This window comes from Homo sapiens, chromosome 1 (genome assembly GCF_000001405.40).
Source record: "Homo sapiens chromosome 1, GRCh38.p14 Primary Assembly".
NCBI lineage: Eukaryota > Metazoa > Chordata > Mammalia > Primates > Hominidae > Homo > Homo sapiens.
In genome coordinates, this window is record NC_000001.11 from 184,695,920 (window position 1) to 184,719,972 (window position 24,053).

Consider the following 24,053-nt stretch of genomic DNA (forward strand, 5'->3'; position numbering starts at 1 on the left):
ATGAATGCTTGGAAAACTGAAAGGTCTCAGAAATAAGCCTCAGAACCAGTCTGTCTCTGACCTTCCCCTGCCTCCCTGTCTCTCTGATCCTCTTTCCTGAAGCAACTGGGGGGATTCTCTCTGGAATTTTCTTATCTAAGGAAGCTTCTTTCCAAATGAAATGCAATTGTCTCAAGAATCCCTCCCTAGGACTCTCATCAAATAACGAGAAAAAAAATGAGCCATCAGAGAAGAGTAGAGACAGGGGTCCTCACCACACCCAAACAGACTTTTCTTCTGTTCTTCTGAGGACAGCTGAGAGATTAACTGGGGGACTTTATCTAGATACTATGCAAAGAGAATCCTTTACCAATCATTGTCTAAGCACTGGACCTCTTCATTCCCTAGTATTCCTCTACCCTAAGAAGAGGGTATTTAAGCTTCAACCACCTGTCCCCTTTCATATTTTGTATGGCTCCTGTGCACACACGTACACATAATAAAATTATTATGCTTTTCTGTTGTTAACCTGTTTTTGTTTTTTTTTAACCCGGGGTGTCCGCTGTAACCCTTTATGATGGGGAGGAAAGGATCACCCCTTTCTGCCCCTACAATGCATATATGTTCACCCTGATTAGATGGGATTACTTGACTCTGAAAGTTTACATTCTTAGGGTTTTTTTTCCGGAGGGGAGGATCAGCAGGGGGTGGATTGAGGAATTCCACACAATCTCTGTCTTCTAAGCTGTGAAAAAGGTACAATTTAATTAGGCAATTAGGGAAACCAATGGTGCAGACCAAAGAAAGAAGGTAGCTGGCTACTTACAGCTTATTTATCCTAGGTTCCCTAAATTCAAGAGAGAACAAAAAGAAAAATCTCCAAGTTTCTTTCTAGATTGTATTATTCCAGATTAGAAGGAGAGGAAAAGGTGTAGGGTTGTTTTACCTGGTAATGAAGATTGTGCTTGTGATAAAAAACTCTCCTAGGGTTACATATACGATATTATTTTGGAAATCTAGCTGATGTAATCGGACAAGAAAGTAGAATAATCAATGTAAATATAGAAAAAGATCAAATTATTTGTATTTTCAGATTGTGATCGTACACTGTCAAAGCAACTTTAATAAAAAAATACTATTAGAATTGATAAAAAAAATTTGGTAAGAAGACTATGCAAATACCAATAACTCCTTTGTAGTAACAATAAATAGTTAAAATATAATCATTAAACCTTTTCATAATAAAAAGCTACAAAACATAGAATTAAATTTATTATAAAAGGTATAAGACCCACGTTGCTTAAATAAAATCATAATGAGAACATAAAACAAGATTTGATTAAATTTATAGGTATATTCTTAAATGAAGTCTTAATATTTAACATTTTCCTAATTTATATGTAAAGTATGCAATTATATAATTTCAAAATGAATCTCATTTGTACTTCTTGTTTTCGTTTTAGAACCAGATACAATTAATTTAAAGTTTCTATGGAACAGCATATGTCAAAGAGAAGCCAAGAAATTCTAAGAATCAGTGAGGGGAGAGTTGCCCTATCAGATAATAAAATATACTCAAAACAGCAAACTTTTATTATTGGCAAAGGAATAAACACATTAGTAGAAGAGAAGGGTAAGTCTAGAAGCAGATCCAACTATGCAAGAATATTTGATATATAGCAAAGATGGTAGTTTAACTGAAGGAGAAATGAGTGGTTTGCTTCATAAATGGTATTTAGTAACTGACAACTCAATTGGAAAGACTCCTAACTTTTATTTTAAAATTCCATATGATTTAGAGACCAAAATGTAAAAAATGGTAAAAATGCCAGAAGAATTTAGGAAAATATTATGTAAAAACAGGATGGAGTGATCTTCTGAAGTGAGACAGAAGACCCAGGAGCCTCAAAGGAATTAATATTTCTGATTACCTAAAAATGTTATGAAAGTTACATAAACAAAGTGAAAAGATGACATGTTGGGAAAATTGTGTGTGTGTGTGTGTAACCTCTGTCCCTATATGTGTGTCTTTTCTAGATAATTTATAGAACCTCTATTTCTTTATGAGTATGTATGTAAATATAGGAAATGCGCACACACACAAACAGAGAGGTCCTATAAAATATCTAGAAAAGACACAGAATCTTATTTAAAGAAGGCAAAATGCAAAACATATGACTAGGCAATCCATAAAGAGAAAAAACAAAAAATATACCTATAAAGGGAAATATGCTGACTAAAATAGGAAGAAACATGTACTCTCATATCTTGCTGGAAAGGATGTGAATTGCTACAACCTTTTTTGGAATGCAACTTGCAACATCCATTAAAATGAAAACGACCCATATACTTTCTGCCAGCATTTCATTTTAGTAAATCTCAATATTCTAGAAAAAGTATGCATATCTAAGAAGATATGTACGAGAATGTTACCTACACCATTGTATACAGTGGCAAAACAAAAACCTGGAAATAATTTGGACGCCTAATAGTGACATGGTTAAATAAATTATGGTACAGTGATAATGCAAAACATAATGCAGCTTTCAAAAGAATAAGTTATGCTATCCTACTAACTTGGAGGAATGTCTTTAATATAGCTTTAACTGTAAAAGGCAAGTTACTGAATGATACATATATTTAGAAATGTATAAAGCACTAAGAAGAATATAAAAGATTACACATCAAACTGCTAACATTGGTTGGTTATCTCAGAAAGATGAGAGATTATTTAAAAGTTTTTAATACACTTCTGGATTGTTTAATTTGTTACAAGTTTAATTTTATAAAGTTTTTAAAAAGATACCAATAACTATTCTATGCAGCACTATAGGAAAGTCACCAGGGGCCAACTAAATTTAAATGTAGAGAAGCAGAGAGAGAGACAGAGACAGAGAGAGAGAGACAGAGAGAAGAACTTTGAAGAAGATGCCCATGGAAGAAAATATTTTGGTTTTCGCAAGCTGAAGGAGCTATAGAACCAGAAATAAAAGCAACAATCAGGAAAGTAAAAATGGCAGTTAGAGAACTACAAAAAGATAGAAGAGTTAAAGTCTGCCACATTGCTACAAATCTTGATCCTAAGGTGCCTGTTTTCACCAGTATGTGAGATCAAAGTCGTAAGAGCATAACAACCACAATATTAAATTCAGGAATGGTACATCAGAAACACAGAAAGAATGGAGAAAATCTCAAAATACAGAGAAACAAAATCAGTATGTTTTAATAATAAAAGAGGAAGTGAACCTTGGCAAAGACTTAGAGATTGGATGTTTTAGAACCATTCATTCATTCATTCATTCATTCATCTGTACATTAAATGTTTACTGAAAGCAAGGAATATAGAGATGAGAAGCAGGTAAAGAACTATTTAACTATCATAGTAGAACTGTATTAAAAGGACACCCTTAAATTTTACCTAGGAGGTGGCATTTGAAATTTAGGATATCTAAATGTTCTCAAAGAGGAAAAGGGCCATGGGAGAGGAAAAGGGATTGATAGGGAACTTCCAGAAAAAGGGAAGAGATGGCGCAAATGTGAAAATGCATGAGAAAACATGTCTTGGATGGAGAAGGGAAGGTTAAGTATCAATTCTGCTAAGAAGAATGTTTCAGATGTTTCTCTCCAGGTAGAGTTCATCTGCATATGTACTAGATTTTTCTCCTAGGAATCAAATCCTTTCCAACAGCAACTTAAGGTGTGCAGTTCAGCTGTAGAACAGATTCACACCAATCAAATTCAGTGGGGGATAATCAGGAAAAGTGACCCTGCCTGACTTAAATCAGAGCATTGCAAATGATGGAACCTTTTTTTTTCTTTCCTCCATTTTCTCTGTCTGGCTCTTTACCAGATAGAGACAAATACAGTTGCTTGAAAGCATTTGTCTAGAGCCCTTAAGGCACTATAGGCTTACACTCTAAGCTGCAAGCATGACAATGAATTGGAACTTAAAAATGCTGATGTTTTTTTCCCTGTGACAAATACTATTGAAAAAAGGAAATTTACTCTTAATTGTAAACTGCTTCAATTTGGACCTAAAGGTAACAAAACATTGCCTTTTGTTTGTGGGCACACGGTTGGAATAATTAAGTACCTTTACAAACTGAAATTTTGGAAAAATGAAACACTGAGAGATATGATATTGAAAATTCTGTTCAACAATAGACTGTGGATAGCTTAACTTTCAGAAGTGTCACAGGTTTGACCTAAGGAAGCAACATCACTTGATAAAATGCTAATGCTTTTTGGCTTCTAAATGTGTATTAAGATGACCAGAAAATTTCTGCTAGCAGAACAGTTTCAGATACATCTATACTAATGGCATGGACTTATCAGAAGAAGAAGACAGGAGTGAAGGCTTTTTAAGGGCTTCTATTTTCTGTATTAAATATGAAAAGGACTTCTTAATCAGCATTGTGTGACTTCATATGGAAAAATACGTATTTGTGGAATGACATTTCTAGAAAAGGCAATCTGGAGAACATTTTATTGTTCAGATTTTAAGGATGTTGTTACTTAGTGTACTTATATAATCTGTTAACTAGTACCTGTAATGGTACAATATGGCCTGATACATAGCTGGGAGACAAAAAAGGGGTGCTTTCTGAATCTTGTTCAATATTTCTCAAAGTGTAGCTGAGGAAGCAGCTACAACACAATCACCCGGGATGTTTGTTTGAAGTTTCAGATTCTGATTCCCAATCATAAAGTCTGAATCAGAAAGTCTGATTGAATATTTGGAGCAGGACTCAGAAGCCAACACTTCTAACAAGTGTATCTGTTGATTCTGATGCAGGGGAGAAACACTGATGTATGTAGTAATGGTATAGGACAAATGATAACCGCTACAGACTGTGTAGCTTCTTAGGATATCCTAAGTGAATACATTTGTTGATTTCATAACACTATTACCATTGATTTCTGTTACATTAATAAATATTAACAATTAGACTGTATCTTGTTGCTAATTAATATAGCTGTACAGTTCTATAAAGAGCTATTACACAAAAAGGGGGCTTTTCAATACTTTTATCAAAAGATCACTCTATAACAATCACAGTTCAATAAATTTATAGACTAAAGTTTTCAAAAAATATCTTTTAAATAATGCCCTTTTAATGCAAGGTCCTTAAGGGGATACTGTTCACCAAGAATTCTTATTTTCTGGTAGAATTAATCATGTCTCATAACCTTTCTCTGGTACAGGAAGCACATGCTGTACCATAATCCTGTAGTCCTAACCCATGTACCATACACACACATGAGCTTTTAAAACAAGTCAATACTTTAAATATTTTACATTGTGTTCAAATAAAATGTGATCAAAGTAATAAATACTAAAACAACAATGCCTTTGTTAGAGTGACTCTTGTATGGACATAGACATAGAATTCATCTATTGTATGGGATGTATAATTATTAGAATTTAAAATTATTATGTGACTGCTGACTAGACATGAAAATAATCTAATTACGTTACACAAGATATTATCATGGTATCCACTGAAACAAAATTATATATGTACTTGAGTGTGTGTACACACACCCAAATACATATATACGTATATAATTTAAGGCTTGTTAATGCAAGATACTTACTACTATTAATAATGTAGCTTGGAATCATTTTACCTTTTAATATTGCTGCTGAAATTCCAGTGGTAGCACAAAATAGGGGGAAAAAAAGCAAATGCATTAAAGAGTTACAAGAAATAATAATTTGCCTATGTTAGATGTGCCTAAATGCATATATGTAGGCAAGAAGATCTGAGTTTAGAAAAGGGCCCAGGAAAAAAAAATCAGGTATACAGAGGATTTAAGACTAGAAAACCTTTGTATTCTGTTCTGTTTCCATCTATACATTGTTATATACAAACAACCTACTTGCTCACTCCATTGCTCATAAATAATTGACATTTCAAAGAATCTCAAAGAAGAATAAAGCAATACAAGAAGACAAAATTAGGCTAGCATGATTATGCTAGCATGATTATCACCGAACATTTTTTTTTAAATGTCCCACTTGGAAGTCACATTGAATTGAATCAGTTTCCTACATATCTGTCAAACACCCCAGGGGATGTAACAACCCTGTACTATTATGCAACTTCATCTATTTAAGGGTATGGGAGAACTTTAGCTCTCTCTTCAGGTCTCTCCAGCAGACAGGAAAGACTGCTACCACAAGCAAGATCTGAAGGCTCACATTCCCTCATTTCTCCTCTATCCCTGGGTGTGAAACTATGTAAGAATACTAGTAAGGCCTTGCATTTATATTGTAATTTGGGTTTCAAAGACATTTCAAATTACTAACAAACATTTTGGCCTACAGAGGACTATCTACTCTCATAAATTAAGACATGCTATCTTGTTTTTCAGAAACAGCCATTTGTAACTCTTATATCCATGTGATAAACTTAGATCTCATTGGGAAGAAGCTGCTAGATTTCTATTGCCTTCACCAAGACAGCAGTCATTTGATTATAGGTGGCCTGTTGAGACTAACTACTATGATATTGTATACAACATTCTATATATGTCTTCTCATTCCTTATAAAAGACATGTAAGATGTAGTATCAGTGAAATCAAATTGTGAACATTTCCGGATGTTAAAATGGCTTTCCTGAAGCAGTCTCTTGTATTTTTATCACCTGAACAGACTCAGGGCAAAAATTACAAATCACACATAAAAACATATGTCTAAAAACATCCTAACTCAGAAAACAAAGCAAAATAAATGTTTTATTATTCTTATTTCCAAAAGAAAAATATATTTTGAAATCATCTTCTAAAAGTTTTACTTGTTTTCACAGTGAACCCCCCAAAACAATTTTTTGTGACTCATTCTTGTTATCAAACTAGCAAAATTAATATTACGCTGCATAAAAAAACAAATGGTATTTTACTCTTACCTCGATCTTTTGCTTTATCAGAGAGGAGCACTTCTACCTCCTCATATTCCCGGATGGCATCCAGTATGATACTTCCTTCTTTGCTGAATAAGAACAGCATGGGGATCTTGATGTCATCTGTATCCTTTCCATCACCTGCCATCTGGAACAGAGGGGCAGTATCACTGCTGCTCCCCTCATTGTCATCTAGCCAGAAAATAAATACAGCAAACATCAAAATATCCAGCCATTAAAAAGATCTATCTACTAATTGTTACTGATTTTTTACAATGACAGAATTAATTTTATGCATCAAGAACCATAAAAACCAACATAATTTTTGGACCCATTAATTCTCATAGAAACGTATCCAAAGGAAATAATTCAAAAGTAGCGAAAAGCCCTATGCCCAAATAATTTTACTAGACTATTTATAATTGTAAACAACTGTACACCATTATAAGTAAATTATAATGACCTACTTGATAGGACACACAGAATAATAATACATTTAAAAAGTAGAATACAGAATTCTATGATTATGACTATAAAAATTTCATATGCTTATGGAAAAGCCTAGAAAGGAAAAAATCAATGACTCGGATTACAGTGATAGAACTATGAATGAATTTTATTGTTGAAAATTTCCACTACTGGCATGATTACATTGTTTTACCAAACTAAAAATGGACATTTCTTTTTTATATAATGCACACAAAGAATAGTTATGACTATAGTGCTTCTTCCTCTATAAGCTAAACTAAACAGTATTGCTATTTTGCATTGGTTAAATAATAGTAGTAGAACTATTAATAGTAGTAGTACCAGCAACATGCTGTTTTACTGAAGACGACAATCACGACCACCTCCAAATCGCATGCCAGTCTCCCAGAAGAAACTATCTGTCCTGTCTCAGGGTGCTCACTCTCATAGGACCTGCTAAGTGCAGAATGCATGACCCATCCTCTTGGTAATAATTGATTAGACAAAAGATGGCTACCTGACCCTGAGTCTCTCTGGGGGACCTGGAACTGGCACACAGAAAGACTGTTTCAGTTAGCAGGGGGTAATAGTCCAGTTGAATGACACAGACTTAGGGGCTGAGGCTGCAAACTAGAATGGCCATTTTGGAACTGAGGAACAAAGAGAGAGAAGGCTGGTGAGAAGCTGGAAAATGAAGCAGAATTGCAAAGAGAAGCAGGGAAGAAAAGTTCAGAAGGACCCAGAGGTAGAGATACAGAGAGAAAAGTGAAAAACATTCACTATCATGGATCCTGGTGATTTTTAGTTCCCACTTCTACCTCCTGGTGAATCCTAGTTGTATTTGTACTGTTTAATTCACTAAAAATAATCCATTTCTGTGTAGTGAAAAAACCTCCCTTCTTAAACCAACGTAATTATCTCCTGCAGCCACATGATTTCTAAGATAATTCGTATTTCTAACCCTTGCAACAAAAAACAGCTAATTCCTAATTTATTCATTTATATACAATTAAAACAAAAACAAAATGCTTTGTCAGAAACAAAAAACTCAGGAGAAAGAAGTCAACACAAGAAAGTTTCTCATTAAAAATTAAATTTTTGGCTGGGTGCGGTGGCTCATGGCTGTAATCCCAGCACTTTTGGAGGCCAAGGCAGACCACTTGAGGCCATGAGTTTGAGACCAACTTGGCCAACACAGCGAAACCCCTTCTCTACTAAAAATACAAAAATTAGCCAGGCTTGGTGGCACGTGCCTGTAATCCCAGCTACTCAGGAGGCTGAGGCATAAGACCTACTTAAACCTAGAGGTGGAGGTTGTAGTGAGCCAAGATCATGCCACTGCACTCTAGCCTGGGTGACAAAGCAAGACTCTGTCTCAAAAAAAAAAAAAAAAAAAAAAAAAAAAAAATTTCTGAGAGTAAGGATCATCATCTCTTATTTATTTATCCACAGAACCCAGTATACCATTTTCCAACTAATAGCTACCAAAAAAAACATTTGACGGGCCAGGCTTGGTGGCTCATGACTGTAATCCCAGCACTGTGGGAGGCCAAGGCAGGCAGAACACCTGAGGTCAGGCGTTCAAGACCAGCCTGGCCAACATGGAGAAACCCCATCTCTACTAAAAAGAAAAAAATATATATAAAAATTAGCCAGGCGTGGTGGCAGGCACCTGTAATCCCAGCTACTCGGGAGACTGAGGCAGGGAGAATTGCTTGAACCTGAGAGATGGAGGTTGCAGTGAGCCAAGATCACGCCACTGCATTCCAACCTGGGTGACAGAGCAAGACACCATCTCAAAACAAACAAAACAAAAATTGACAATTATTGCATACTATAGAAGATCATGAGAATTAGACTTCACTGAAAAATATAAAAAACCAAAATACTACACAAAGAAATATTTTTAAACATTAATGCATAAATTCTACACTTTATACTTTACATTTTCATTTTGAAGTCTTGGTAAGAACTGTTCAAAATGATAGTGATGGTTAATATAATAAATTCTGCAATAAAACTAATCTAAGTGTGGGAAATACCCAAGGATAAAGAGCATGATTTAAGTCAGGGGTCGGCAAATCTCTTCTGTAACTGGCTAGATGATGAATAAATATTTCAGGCTTTGTAGTTCTCTCCTGTAAGTACTCAACTCCATCACTGCAGTTCAAAGCAGTCATAGACCATACACAAACAAATTGGCATGACTGTGTCCCAATAAAACTTTTATTTACAAAAATGGGCAATGAGCTGGATTTGGCCTATAGTCTTGTAGTTTGCCAACTGCTGATTTAAGTCATTAAACAGGACTTCTCCTAATGTTTATTAATAAAATTTATGCATCCATTAAATCAACATAATAAGTGTTAATATTCTGTTTTACCTGAACTATTTTTTTTTATTTACCTTAACTATTGGGCGGCAGGGGAGGGGGGAATCCAAAATGGATTTCCCTGTGAGAGAAGCTGTACAAAAGAACTCACAATCAGCATATTGTGAGCCCAGGTCTTACAGTTCTTTCTGAATGTAAACTCCTATTTACTTTAAAACAGAAAAATTTATATTTCCCCTAATAGTCATGGCCTGTTTATCATGATATAAGTGATTGTCTATGAAAGATAAAAAAGCAAAACCCACTAGTTGATACATATAGGTAAGATGATTTAAAGGTGGTAACTTGTCATTTCGGTAGAAAAAGATCCAAGGGGATAAAGATCTGCTAGCAATACTGTAAACCCTGTTATAGTAGCACTTATCCTATGTCTGCTATTATGCCAAGAAATTTTATATATCTTTAAACCTTACAATCACCTAAAATATATTTATTATCACTTCCACTGGAGCTCAAAAATATTCTACTATCAAATAAAAAAAAATTATACTATTTAATCTACAGATTAAAAAACTGAAGCTAGGCCAAGGTTACACTGCAATTTTGTGGTAGAGCCAGGAACTGTACTCTCATGTGTCTGCCTCCAAAGCCTGCATCTTTGTGGAGTAATGGAAATTTTCAATGGCTCCCCACTGGACGTGGCACAGTGTAATTCTTGCCCTTCGGGGGTTATGGATCTCATGGGCACCTTTTCTTATCCATGGTACTGAATTTTTTTACTACTCAGCCCTACCTCACCCTCACACCTAAACCCAAGTATTTTCACTGACATTAATATACAGAAATTCAAATCTAGACTTTTAAAAAAGATGTTAGATATCTAGAAATTAAAAGTCATTGGATTACCTATCCTTGTTGTCTAGGTGAGGTAAAAAAAACTATGACAAACTCTTTGATAAAATTTTAGAAAATAAAAGGGAAAAAATCCTAAAAATTATCTCCCCTTCAGTCAACACAATGACATGGATGATTACTTACCAATAACAATGCCACCAATGGCTCCAGCATTCTGGATGTTGCGTGCCTTTTCTGCAAACATGCACTGTCCTCTTTGTATCAGTGCGATTTTTCCCATCACTGCCTCTGGGTTAGTAAGCTCTGAACAACCATTGGATGGTTTACTGCTTGCAACAAATCCTCTTGTCTGTCAGAAATAAAAGCAACTTAAATACTTTAATCTTCTCAAATGGCAATCAAGTCATTAAACCTCAATATCTAGAGTTTTAAAAGAACTAGAACTCATTTCTTTTCTAATGATAACGTATCTAACATATAGTCACCATAAAATATTGTTTTAAACATTTTGCATATCACAGTACTCAACCAATATTTCTAGTGTGCTTTGCAGTTTATAGAACATTTTTATATAAACTACAAAATCTGTTATTTATAATGACCCTGAGCAAAACAATACAAATAACATTTCCCTTTCACATATGGGGAAATTGAGACTCAGGTTACGTAATTTGCTCACAATGTTAACACGATGTTACTAAGCAGTAAAGTTGGGACCTGCAGGCAGATTCACTACATTTACAATAGCTGGGAACTAATTTGAAATGATCATTGGTAACAAGAAAAGTTTTTGAAAGGGGAAAAAATGGACTTAGTCTATATGAATCTGCAAGCAGTTCTTTTTACCAAAAAAATTAAATCCACCAAGGAACTAATTTTTTTAAACACGTTACTATAAAGATGTTTTAATATCCTTCACTCTACTAAAATGTAAATTCCATAAGGGCATGGATCTTCATTGGTTTTGTAAACTGATACAGCAAGCAGTGCACAGAATATAGTAGGCACTCAATCAACAGTTGAATGAATCAATCAATCTATATAGCTTCTACATAGTTTAAAATATACATGAGAAAAAAGTCTAAATTAGCAGTAATAGAGTGAAAAGAGCATTGGCTTTAGATTGTCACGATACTTGGGCTCTGGTCCCAGCTCTGCAATCAATTAGTTAGATAACTTTGTGAATTGCTTAGTTATGTAAGTCTTTGTTTTCTACGTTATAACTATGTTACAACTATAGAGGATGGACTAGCTAAATGATCTTCAAAGTTTGCCCAGTGGAACCTCAGGGTCCCAGGCTTTCTCCAGTCACTTGAGCCAGAGCTTCTGTGCTTTTAGCTGTTTTCTACATTAAGCTCCTGGTTTAGACTTTTGTTCAAAGAAAGGTTCTAGTGGCTCTTAGAAAGTCTGAAAACCATTTTTAGATCAATTACAGGTATTAAATTAGAGAAGAGACCAAGAAATTGAATAGAACCTGAATAATATTTTAGTTAAAATTCTGTAAGCATATTATATACATAAATTATGACTCAAAGTTTTCAAGACATGCTTTTACTTTACTTAAATCCAGGAGATTGACTATTTCAGTTTTTTAAATAAATTAAAACTACTAAATTAGAGAAGAGACTAAGAAATAAGGCAATACTTAATATTTTAAATTCAGTTTCAACAACTATATTTTAAGTATACATACCTCTTTATGTTTAGACAGATCCAGCCCAAACTGAGCTGGTCCAGCAGTCAATACTACCCTGCCAAAAAATGGGTGGGAAACAATTTGTACAGCTCGTGGAGGCAGCTGCTGTTCTTTTTGTTGCTGACTTGACAATTCAATCATCTCCTGCATGAACCTCAACCCATCTTCAGCGTCGATTGAACTAGCAGCCTATGAAAAAAACAAATTCATTTTATCCTTCCTTTCTGGAAACTTCCACCAATTTTTTGATTTCCTAAAGACACTGTACTGTAGTATTCTACTCTACAACTTCTTCTTTCACTTTAGGTCACCACCAAGTATTTATGACCTTATTTGTACTCAAAAATAATACTTTCAGAAATAGTATTTCTGAAAATAACTTATCCGTATTTTTTATCAATGTCACTTTCGCTATTCTATAAACCACTTTTGATTCAGATTGAGAACTGGACTTCTAGCGAATGCTCAAATGCTCACTTTGCTTATTCTCCCCACTGGCTTTCCCTCTGAAGAAATAAACCTCATACCTGACCCACACTTTCCCTCCTTGAAATAGTGAACAACCAGATTCAATTTGATTCAAAACATATCTGTGAAGCACTTATTCCATCTCAGCACTTGCCTAGGCATTGGAGAGACAGTCCTTTAAGAAATTTGTGTCTGGAGGAGAAAGACATGTAAAGTTAGCTATGATAAAATTTCTCAAGTGGGAAAGTGGAAAAGGAGCACAGATGAGGGAACAATTGATTCTGCTTGTGTGTACCTGGGAAAGATTTAGAATGACACTTGAATTGAGTCTTAACAGAGGGAAAGTTGAAGAATGACTATAATAGAAAAAAATAAGATGATTCCTGATACTTTACAGGAAAAACCAACAAGACATGATAGAAGTTAGAGGATGGAAAAGGATAAGAGGAACTGGAAGAGAAGAAGAGTTCAAACCTATCCTGAAATTTCCAGCTTTGATGACTTAAAGAATGATGATAGGTTTTACTGACATGGAGAGCCAAAGAAGGAAACATAGGTTGAGGTGAGGGTAGAAAGAGAGTAAACAAGAAAGAGATAATTCAAGTTTGGACAGATTGAGATTGAGATGCAAGATGTATGAGAGGTAGATGAAAGTTGAATTTAATAGTAAATTTAGGAATCAGGATTCACATACATAGCTAAGAAGTCATATGTATAAAAATGATAGCTAAGCTTGTAGAAATAGGTGACACTGTTGAAGAAGAGTATATAGAGAAAAGAATATCATCCAGATTCTTGGAAACTGTTTACATTGAGTGGTTGTGCCAAGGAGAGCTACAAAGCAATAAACAGTGAAGTAGAAAAAGAACTTTGTTTCTGAAATATCCTGGGAAGCCAAAAAGGGAAAATGTTTTATGAAGGGTTCAGCCAATAGTTACAGAAAAGTTAAATCATATAAGGATCAAGAGGCCACTTGGCAGTAATTATGCCATTGGCAGCCTAAGTAAGTAAAAGCAATGTCACAAGAGATGTCACTCCCACTGAGGCCAAATAAAATACAAGGAAGAAGGAAGAATACTCTTAAAAGAAGGAAGGATGTGGCAAGAATATGGATGAGATGAAAACTTGAGGGTGTGATGAAGTTGTGGGAGGGTTGAATTTGAGATTAAAGGATACCTGAATATGGTTCTAGGTTAAAAATTATTCAGCAAACTATGTGGTTTTCTCAGAATCAATATACTAATAAGGTAAATAATTTAAAAACTTTGTGTTATAAAAACTTTCAAAGTAAAAATCAATAAAAATTTCTCAAAAAGACATGTTATTTTTCCTAGGCACAGACAAATAAATACCTATGATGAACAAAATACTTAAGATTCAGTAGCTCTTTGGAGACTAAAATGATGTAAAACATGGAGATATGAATATTAAAACTAATTACTAGTTTTTGAAGTTATGTTGTAAATAAAAGTAACAGGGGAAAGCCAATGGACTGAGAAACAGAAAACTTAGATTTGAGTCCTGCATTTGATTATATTAACTTCAGCAAATTACCCAACCTAGCTCTGATTTATTTAATTGATTTATACTATAAAGGAGTTGAATTAGGTGACTTTCCAAGATACTTCCAAGTCCTAAAATTCTCATTCTCTCACTTTAAACAGTATATTTAAAGTGTTTAGAAAGTTGAAATCCATTATCTTATTAAAGCTAATGCGACCAAAGAAAGCAGGGCAGAGACGGTATCTAATTAGTGTAGCAATGTCTTACTTGGATTGCATGTTGGACCAACTGGACTCTCCCATCTTTGAGGTGAATCAAACTCACCCCCATCTTCTTCAGGATTTCTAAATGCTCAGGGTTAGTGGCCATGAAATCTCTGGCTCTCAGAGGGGGTTTAGCTCCACTCCTGAAACTCTCCTCTCTGCTAAAAGTAATTACAGGCAAGGCTTAAAAAACTATAAATTAGAATTGGCAAAAAACACATGTCAAATAAAAATAATGTTACTTGCAAAATTGCTAGTTTTAGAACTAGTGAAACTGGAATAACTAGAAAGTATTTTCTTACATATAATTTAGGTTAACAAGTGGTATAGCTTTCAAATATAACATTTTCTAGTTATAAAAGTTTGTATATTATCTATATAAGGCAGTATTAGTCAAGAGAACTATAACTATTTAAAGGTACAGAACAAGTTTGCTTGGGGATTTGTTACTATTGATGTTATCCTTTAAAAACACAGATTTTTCTCCCAATATTTTAAAAGCAAATCAATACTTGCATCAGTGAATAATAACACTTATGTAAAAATAATTTTTAAAAAGTCCTTGCAATGGCCTAATATAACTACTCGTCAGAAAATGAACTCATTAAGCCAATTTTAACAAGCAAGAATAAGTACTCCCTCAAAAAATCAAATCCAAACAAACAAACAAAATACCTGTATTTTCACTACACAGAAACTATAGACAAAAGGAAATTTTTTTTTTTTGAGATGGAGTTTCGCTCTTGTCACCCAGACTGGAGTGCAATGGCGTGATCTTGGCTCACCGCAACCTCCACCTCCTGGGTTCAAGCGATTCTACTGCCTCAGCTTCCCGAGTAGCTGGGATTACAGGTGCCTGCCACCATGCCTGGCTAATTTTTTGTATTTTTAGTACAGACAGAGTTTCACTATATTGGCCAGGCTGGTCTCGAACTCCTGACCTCAGGTGATCCACCTGCCTTGGCCTCCCAGTGTCCTCAGATTACAGGCGTGAGCTATCATGCCTGGCCAGAAAATATTCGATGAAACTATTCCATGAAAAATGAGTTATAGAAGTTAAAAACTGTTACATGCTGCCCACTATTATTACCTTAGTTCATAAAATAAAAGATATATTGAAAGTTTCCAAAATAATAAAAAAGATATTACTGCAAAATAAGCTTTACTATCTAACTTTACTACTAATTTTTATTTTAACCAGTGATAGCTACATACCTCAACATTTTCGGCCTATGTGAATGTCTTCTTGGCTGTTGATACATGCTCCCTAAGTTCTCTGTCATTTACTAAGAAACAACTTTGATATTAGAAAATATAAAATAATACATCTTACACTCTGATGATGCCTCTAGGACAGCTCTTATCCACCACATTTTTCAAGGGCTCACGAATACTTTGAGCATACAATGGGTCATTAGGAAAGAGGATCTGAGTATTTGGACAAGTCCAATCGAAGTTACTGTCATCCAGTTCTGTATATTCCGAGGTCTACAAGAGAAAAACATTTTATGTAAACAGAAATAATTATTTTACTTAACATAATTTTTTTTTTTTTGAAATGGAGTCTCACTCTGTTGCCCAGGCTGCAGTGCAGTGGCGTAATCTCTGCTCACTGTAAGCTCCATCTCCTGGGTTCATGCCATTCTCCTGCCTCAGCCTTCCGAGTAGCTGGGACTACAGGCGCCCACTACCACGCCCAGCTAATTTTTTGTATATTTAGTAGAGACGGGGTTTCACCATGTTAGCCAGGATGGTCTCAATCTCCTGACCTTGTGATCCACCTACCTGGGCCTCCCAGAGTGCTGGGACTACAGGCATGAGCCACCGCACCTGGCCTACTCAACATAATTTTTAAAAGGAAACAGTTAATGAAATATATAAGTGTATACAGGATGCAATAAAAGAAAAAAAATAGGAAAATGTATATATTTATTCTTACCATACATATATTTATTGAATTCTACTCATGGATTACTTTTCACTTGGAAAAATAAAACATGTAGAAATAAAAAAGAGAATAAGACATTTCATTTAAAAACTCACTGTGTTCTTTTTAGAGATGCTTTGATTTGTAGTAGAGAGCCAAAGAGGTAACAGATGAGCTTCTGTTGTAAAGATGTAATCTTCTATGTCAAAAATAATGTCTTCTTTATCAGCAAATAACAGGTAAAGATATTTAAACATTTCAGCCAAGAAGAAAGAATCCATTCTAAAATAAAAAGTCACAAATAAATATAAGTAGATAAAAATAATTTAAATGCCAACTATATGAAAGCCATAGAGTCAAGGTTAATAATCCTGTCTATACCAACTTAGATGTTCAAAGAACTATAGAATGTATCAATCTACCAGGGGCAGAATAACCTTGACTCCAAGTATATTCTATGTTAATGAAAAAGACCAGAGGAGTTGTCTACCACACTGATACACTGAATCTTGTGAATAATGCAGACAAGATTTTTCTATAGGCCTTTCAATGAGGGAAAGTTCTCCATTTCTTCTATAGAGAATCAACAGCAGGGAGGTAACTGATAAATTTTACTAGTGAGAATCATATAAGAATCTTCCATTAAATTAGAGAGCTGGAAAAAGTCATACAAATTTGACGGAATTTATTATGTAGCTATTTAAGTGATTTAAAAAGAAGGCTTTAAATGTAAAGAAATTACTTGCATGTAATTTCCTGGCCAACATGGTGAAACCCCGTCTCTACTAAAAATACAAAAATTAGCCGGGTGTCGTGCCAGGCACCTGTAATACCAGCTACTCAGGAGGCTGCAGCAGGAGAATCACTTGAACCCAGGAGATGGAGATTGCAGTGAGCCGAGTGCAGTGTCACTGCACTCCAGCCTGGGTGACAGAGCAAGACTCCGACTCAAAAAAAGAAAAAAATAGTTACATGAAAAAAGTACAATGCAAAGTCACACGGGCTATGATTATAACATGCTAAATATTTATTTACCTGTTAAGAAGGGAATGTGGAGAAATAAAGACAGTAAAACTATATGTGTTTTTACAAATGATTTAATGTTATAATGTTTTAACAATTTAAGAAAAGTTTAAATTAAAAGTGTCAGGAAAAAAGCATAGCTGGTAGATGGAGTCATAGTAACATCAAATTTAATTCACTACTCCCCAAAGCATCATAGGTTTTGGCAGTAATAAACAACTTCTAGTTTACTGGACAAGTTGCACAATTTCATACCTCTGGCCAAGCACAATTCCTGGCACACAGTAGGCACTCAATAAATGTTTACTAAATTAAATGCAAGTTTAAACAGCGTGATTAAAGAATGAGCTGGAGAGGGAGTAGAACAAAGAAGTAAAGAACATGGGCTTTGGAAATAGAAAGATCTTCCACTAATTAGTTCTGTCACCATGGGGATATTATATAAGGACTATGAGCTTCAGTTTATTCTTCTGTAAAAGGAATATAACAATACACTCATGACATTGGTGTGAAGACTGAGATATTAAATGTCAATTATTTAGCATAGCACTTGGCATACATATGAGATTGAAACTACAGCTATCATTTTTCCTACATACACATGATTTTTTATTTTGGAACAAAAACTCACCTGAAATGTTTCAAAACATGTTTAGCCATTTTGGATATTAATCTTTTTAGACAATATAAAAACACTTTCCTGTTTATCTGCAATACACTTATCATAATTCAACCTTTTCTGATGGACTGACAGTTATTACATGAGCAAATGCTATCTTGAGAACTGCAGACAGATGAGCAGGATACTGATAATTGGCAAATACTAGAATAGACAATTTGTAAACATTTAGAAAAGAACAAGGCATGGTAAGATAACTACAATATGAATTGGGCAAAGCTAGCAAGTTGAACATCAGATCATATGATCTATTTTATATTTTAAAATCATAAAAATACATAAATAAAAATACACAGGCATTAAAAATGTCTGGAAGCCTTTATAAAATTGCTAACAGTGGTAATCTTACGCAGTTAGGGGACAGTGTCTTAGCAAATATTTTCCTATTATTTTTGCCATTTACATTCTTTTCAGTAATTATGATTAGGAAAATACAGATATTTCCATTGTGAAAAGTGTGTGTGTATGTCTGTGTCTGTGTAGATGATGGTAACCTGGAGGACAGTGATAGTGCTTAGATCTATAGGGTAATAAACCACCACATGCAAAGAGCCTGTAACTGAAAGCTCTTGAGTGCAGTGCCACAAGGCACTGGTTGGGGTCCAACCAAAACTTCTTCCTAACAGTTTGGATGAAAAAAATGTAAGGTATGCTCATCTAAACTATAGATCATTGAAAACTGGTAGTTTAGCTAATGAGATTCAACCTCTAGACCAAAATCTAGAAACAAAACAAAAAAAGAAATTTTGCTGAGTTAAATATAAAAGTTCTAAGTTTACACTAAAAAAAAGAAAACTTGGCTGCTCAAAGGCAGGGTGGAGAACACTCATTTGTCAGCAGACCATACAGTTAAGTATGTGAAACTAGTTGATCACAAGCTCACTGTGAGCTGAACATAATAAAGCTCCTAAAAAATCTAAAGCACATCTAATAACACAATATGATGAAGAATGGTAGTTCTTAACCTTTCATTTGGCTAAAGACATCTGAGAGGCACAACAATCCCCTCAGGAACAGTGAGTCAATGAAGCAGTGGTCCTCAACTGGATAGAGGGTGGAAACTCATCAGCCTCATAGAACATTAGTGACCCTTTGCCTGAATACAGACAGTTATGGTGCTGTGTGCCAGACACATCTTGAGTATGGTTAATTCTGGATGTGATATTTTAAGAGTTATTATATATACTGGAATGCAATCAGAATGGGGCAATGTCAGTGGTAAGAGGTCCAGAAACAATGTCATAAAAGGAGTATTTGGTGGGGAAAAAAAGAAGGATGTTACACTTTGAAAAATAGAATTCTGAACAGTAAATCATGTCTTCCTCTGCAATTCTTCAACTTGTTACCTCTTTTGTATTTTAGAACATATCACATGGTTGTGATTATTTCTTTACACACCTATCTTATTCACTAACTACAAGTCATGGGAGTGCAGGGACTGGTTCTATTTTATCTTTCTACCCCACACTTAAGTGCAGTGGCTGGCATACAGTAGGTGTTTAATTATTGTTCTTTAATGAATTGCCAGTATAACATCATTGTCAAGAGCCAATCTGCCTAGATTAGAATTCTGACTTAATCTTACTAACTGTGTGACCTTAGGCAAGTTCCCTAACTTCTCTTTCCCTTGGTTTCTTCACCTTTAAAATGAAGACTGTAATAGTACACTTCAGAAAGCTGTTGTAAGGATCAAATTAGTTAAACACATAAAATGCTTAGAAGACTGTCTGGAGTATAGGAAACAGTCAATAAATGTTACAGGCAAATAAATACACAAGGTATCTGCTTTTATTTCTTGCTATTACTTGTATGCCTGCTTCCAGAACCTAACCATTTCTCATTAGCTGTGGTTAGGGATGGAGATTCGAAGCCTAATTAACCATTATCCGAACACTAAGTGAAGAACTAAGGGACAACTCTATGGGTAGATGATGAGTGCTGTGTTTCTCATGTCTTCAGTCTCACTGCCTGGAACTTCTTTTACATCTTTCTTCTTCTAATTCTTGGTTATCCTTCAGGACATAGGAGCCTTCAGGAACCCTTCGCTGACTATCACATCCCAACTTGTGCTTCATGCCCCTTTAATATGTTTCAAACACATATACAATGTTTTAAAAGTCTGCTTATTGGCCTGCCTTCAGTGATTCAAAGACAGAAAGGACTTATCTTCATATCTTTAATCCTCAAAAACTAGTAAGAGCCCTGGCACATAAGGGGCCTCAGTAAATATTTCTGGAATGAACATTTGCTAACCAAATGAACAAATAAGCTTCAGCATTCATTTAGAGATGTGATAACCAGATAAGTGATCTTAGAATAAGGAGAATGCTTGTGAATTTCATGTGGAGCACTTTTTATAGCTTGAATACTTCATACCATCTACATCTATCCAGTGTCTAATGAAACAGAAACTACCACTGGTCTTTCCCACTCCTGCAAGTCAGCAACGGTGTAAGTACACACAGCTTTTGAGGAATTCTTGGCCGAACACAAATCACATTCCAGATCATTCCTCATCTTGGTAATTTCTAATGTCTTATGTAATATAAAAGGAAACTATTATCAAAGAAGAAAAAAAGCCACATTTTAGATAGTCCTAACACCAAGGTTCTGATATTTAACAATCATCGATTCATTTATTTAAAAATCATTTGAGCACCTACTATATGCCAGGCACTATGATAAAAATACAAACTTTTCAAACAAATTAAAATTAGTGTATTCAACAGAGTTTAAAAAAGTAAACACAAGGAACAAAGGTTTCTATCCTTTGTAAAAGAATTAAACTTATTTGAATCCTAAATGGTAGCTGCATTTTGTGTTGTTTCAGAGAGACCCTGAGGAAAGAGGATGTTAGCAATTGTTTTACCTGTCCTCATGACTTCCAGTACGAACATCCTTCATGGCAGCAAATCCGCAAGGCACTCTAGCATATTTATTTAAATTTTCAATAAGTGTCTTCCCTACTTCAAGGTAGTAAGGATCTCCTGTAGCCTATTAAAAAGGAGAATATATGTATAATATATATAGCTTATATATTACCACATATCCATTCATTTACCAAATATTTATTGAGTACCTACTAGGTGCCAGGCACTGTATCAGGCACTGAAGGACATTATATAGAACTGAGTTCTGAAAAAAAGCTATGAATCTGCTTTACAGAATTTCTTAAATACACAATTATAAAATTTAACTATATAACCTTAGTTTTTAAATTTCTAATGCTCAGAAAGGCTGCCTGAAGAAAGGCAAGAGACATGCTTTAGAAAGCAGCTCTAGAACATAAAATTTCTCTTTAAAGAAATGTTTACATAATATTTTTTAAAGAAAAAAACCTTGCATGTCAATTCTTGCATCATTCAATAATTCTATGGACTAGATGAATAAGAATCATGATATATCCAATCATTATAATATTAAAAGGGGACTCTGAAAACCCAATTACTATTATGAAAGAATGAGAGATCCAACAGAGAATGGAGGCTAAACTTTAAGTAAAATGGGGTATATTTTCTTACTTTATATAAGAAGTAGGTACTTTCTGCAAATTCTGGCCTTAAAGGATGTTGAGCCCAGTGTACTCTGAAATCTGTGGTAAATGCCTGAACAAAACAACATACAAAAGGCATAAAAAATGTGATTAAATACACAAGTAGTTCCAGAATATATAGAATATATATAAATAGGTAAAAGCAATTAAAATAGCAATCAGGACATTTTCATCAATAAAACATCAATTTTCATTGCTTAAAATAACAATTCATTTTGCAAAGGCTGCTATTTTTACCAATTAAATTGATTATTTTTTCAGTGATCATTCTGGCTATTAGAAAACTCAGAAAAACTCCATAATGAAACTCAGCAATGCCACTACATGGGTCCTGGTGGTAAACATAATTGTGTTTTCTTTTTATCCTTCCCTCTACTTTTTCCTCTGGATTATTACTCTCCTAGTTCTCATATTTATTTTTAAATTTTTTAAATCGACAAATAAAAGTGACATATATTTATGGTATATGACATGATGTTTTGATATATTTATACACTATGAAATGGCTAAATCAAGCTAATTAACATATGCATTATCTCACATAGTTCTCTTTTTTTGTGGTGAGAATACTTAAAATCTCTCTTAGCAATGTGTAAGCATACATATTTCATATTTTAGCTTATATTTTCTAAAAGCCTCAAATCCTTTGTGGAATAAGACAGAGCATTATTTAGAAATAAATAAAATTAGTCTATTTGAAATTTATTCAATAACATAATCAATTGGTTTTTAAAAGAAAATAAAAATAAAAGCAAACAAAAACTTTTATGGGAGCTAAATAAAAATTTCATTTGTGATAGATGTATTAATTGAAACCTCAGTTTATTCTGTATGGATATGAATTTTCTACAATGCACAGTCCTACTCACCCGAAGGCTAATAAAACTATACTTTCCAAAACAAACACTTTAGGAACCCTTCTAAGTTGGTAGAATGCTTAGATATCTCACAGAGGGTAGTCAATAAGCGGGGATAGAACAAGGCCATACACACATTTGGAAATTTTTAACGGTACATTTCTGGGAAGCCAAAAAGTATGCTATTAAAATCTTGTCATATTAAGCTAGCAAGAATATTTATTACTAATATGATGTATAAAAATCAGGAAGAATAATTCTCAATCAGCATGAGGAAGAGATGGCATTCTATACATTTCCAGAGGGCATGTGTGAACAACAAAAGTATATCTAATATATACTGTTTTCATAAGACAAGCTTTAGAAAATAAAAAGTGACAAAATCTCCCTAGCTGGTAGGTACATACAAGAGTTAGAATGAGAGAATATTACAATGGCATAAGTTAGGAAGAGTTGAGAAGAACTAAGCTGGGAATTTTTTTACATAAAATTTTAAAAATGTCAGCATTACCCTAAATCAGACTTCTCTTAACACACAAAGAAAAGCAAAAACATATATAATACTGTACAAACCAAAAATAAACTATTTAATAGGAAAAAAATAAAAAGAACCAACAAGCCTTGAAGATGACATTTTCTACCTTTATATTAGCAACTTATAGTGTATATGTGTACGTGTGTGTGTGTGTGTGTTTGTGTGTGTGTAAGATTATTCCAAAAATTATTTGCTTACCTCTGGTAGAAAATTGTGTTTTTTAATCACCTGATATAACATTTCATGAGTTTCAATAGCAGGTCTAATATCCCCCTTTAACACCTAGAAATCAACAACAATAAAATTACCTAATAAAATATGAGCTGATTTTATCTCTAATCATTACATAAACAGAAAAATGTATACAAATACAATTCTGAACTGCAACTATGTTTTGTAGTTCAGTTTTAAAGATCAAAAATGCGCCTAATTAACATCATCATCTTACATTCATATTAAGAAGACAGAATTCTTTATACCTGCAAGCCTGGGAAGAAGGCAAGCAAAGCATCCATCCAAGTCCGAGCATTCAGCATTGGTTTGTGGATATGCACATCAAGTAGAAGAGGTGGCTGGCTAATATACCTCATTATGGCATCATAGTGCTAAAAGATCACAACATGTGTTCATGAAAGTTAGATGAAAAAAGAGGTACTACTCTAAACACATTAAATAGCACTGTGAATAAATTAAACTAGAATTTATATATAAATTCACTAAATAACTACCAATTTATATAAATATTTAAGTTATTTTAGATGGAGATCTTTCTAAAATATATATGTACTCCTTTATGTCCTCTAACTCACATGCAGACTATTAAAGACTATCTGTAATATAGGACCTTCTGAGAAAAATGGAACTGAACATCTCTATGCCCTGTGGCGTTAGCCCGTGGTTGGTATGACTTTGCGGCCCACTGATGCTCATAGGTCCCCTTGTAATATAGCTATCAGCTTCTGTATTACAGAATTTGCTTTTTCCTGTATCTTGGAAGTTTGATCCCTTC

At 34.2% G+C, this 24,053-nt stretch overlaps 1 protein-coding gene across 5 annotated transcripts in view; it reads right to left on the minus strand.

The window, feature by feature from the left end:
- The window catches only part of EDEM3 (ER degradation enhancing alpha-mannosidase like protein 3), a 64,622-nt gene that overhangs the window by 5,683 nt on the left and 34,886 nt on the right, over window positions 1–24,053 (minus strand). For 2 of the 5 annotated variants that reach the window (XM_011510012.2, XM_005245499.3), the window contains 10 exons: window positions 23,524–23,649; window positions 23,243–23,326; window positions 21,621–21,704; window positions 20,969–21,093; window positions 16,514–16,679; window positions 15,804–15,958; window positions 14,475–14,631; window positions 12,234–12,425; window positions 10,724–10,889; window positions 6,892–7,077 (listed from right to left, as the gene is read on the minus strand). In XM_011510012.2, the coding sequence (XP_011508314.1) occupies window positions 6,892–7,077; window positions 10,724–10,889; window positions 12,234–12,425; window positions 14,475–14,631; window positions 15,804–15,958; window positions 16,514–16,679; window positions 20,969–21,093; window positions 21,621–21,704; window positions 23,243–23,326; window positions 23,524–23,649 (1,441 nt within the window). Of the gene's footprint in view, window positions 1–5,577; window positions 5,626–6,891; window positions 7,078–10,723; window positions 10,909–12,233; window positions 12,426–14,474; window positions 14,632–15,803; window positions 15,959–16,513; window positions 16,680–20,968; window positions 21,094–21,620; window positions 21,705–23,242; window positions 23,327–23,523; window positions 23,650–24,053 lie in introns of all 5 variants that reach the window. The other 3 variants (NR_135118.2, NM_001319960.2, NM_025191.4) reach the window with 3 other exon arrangements.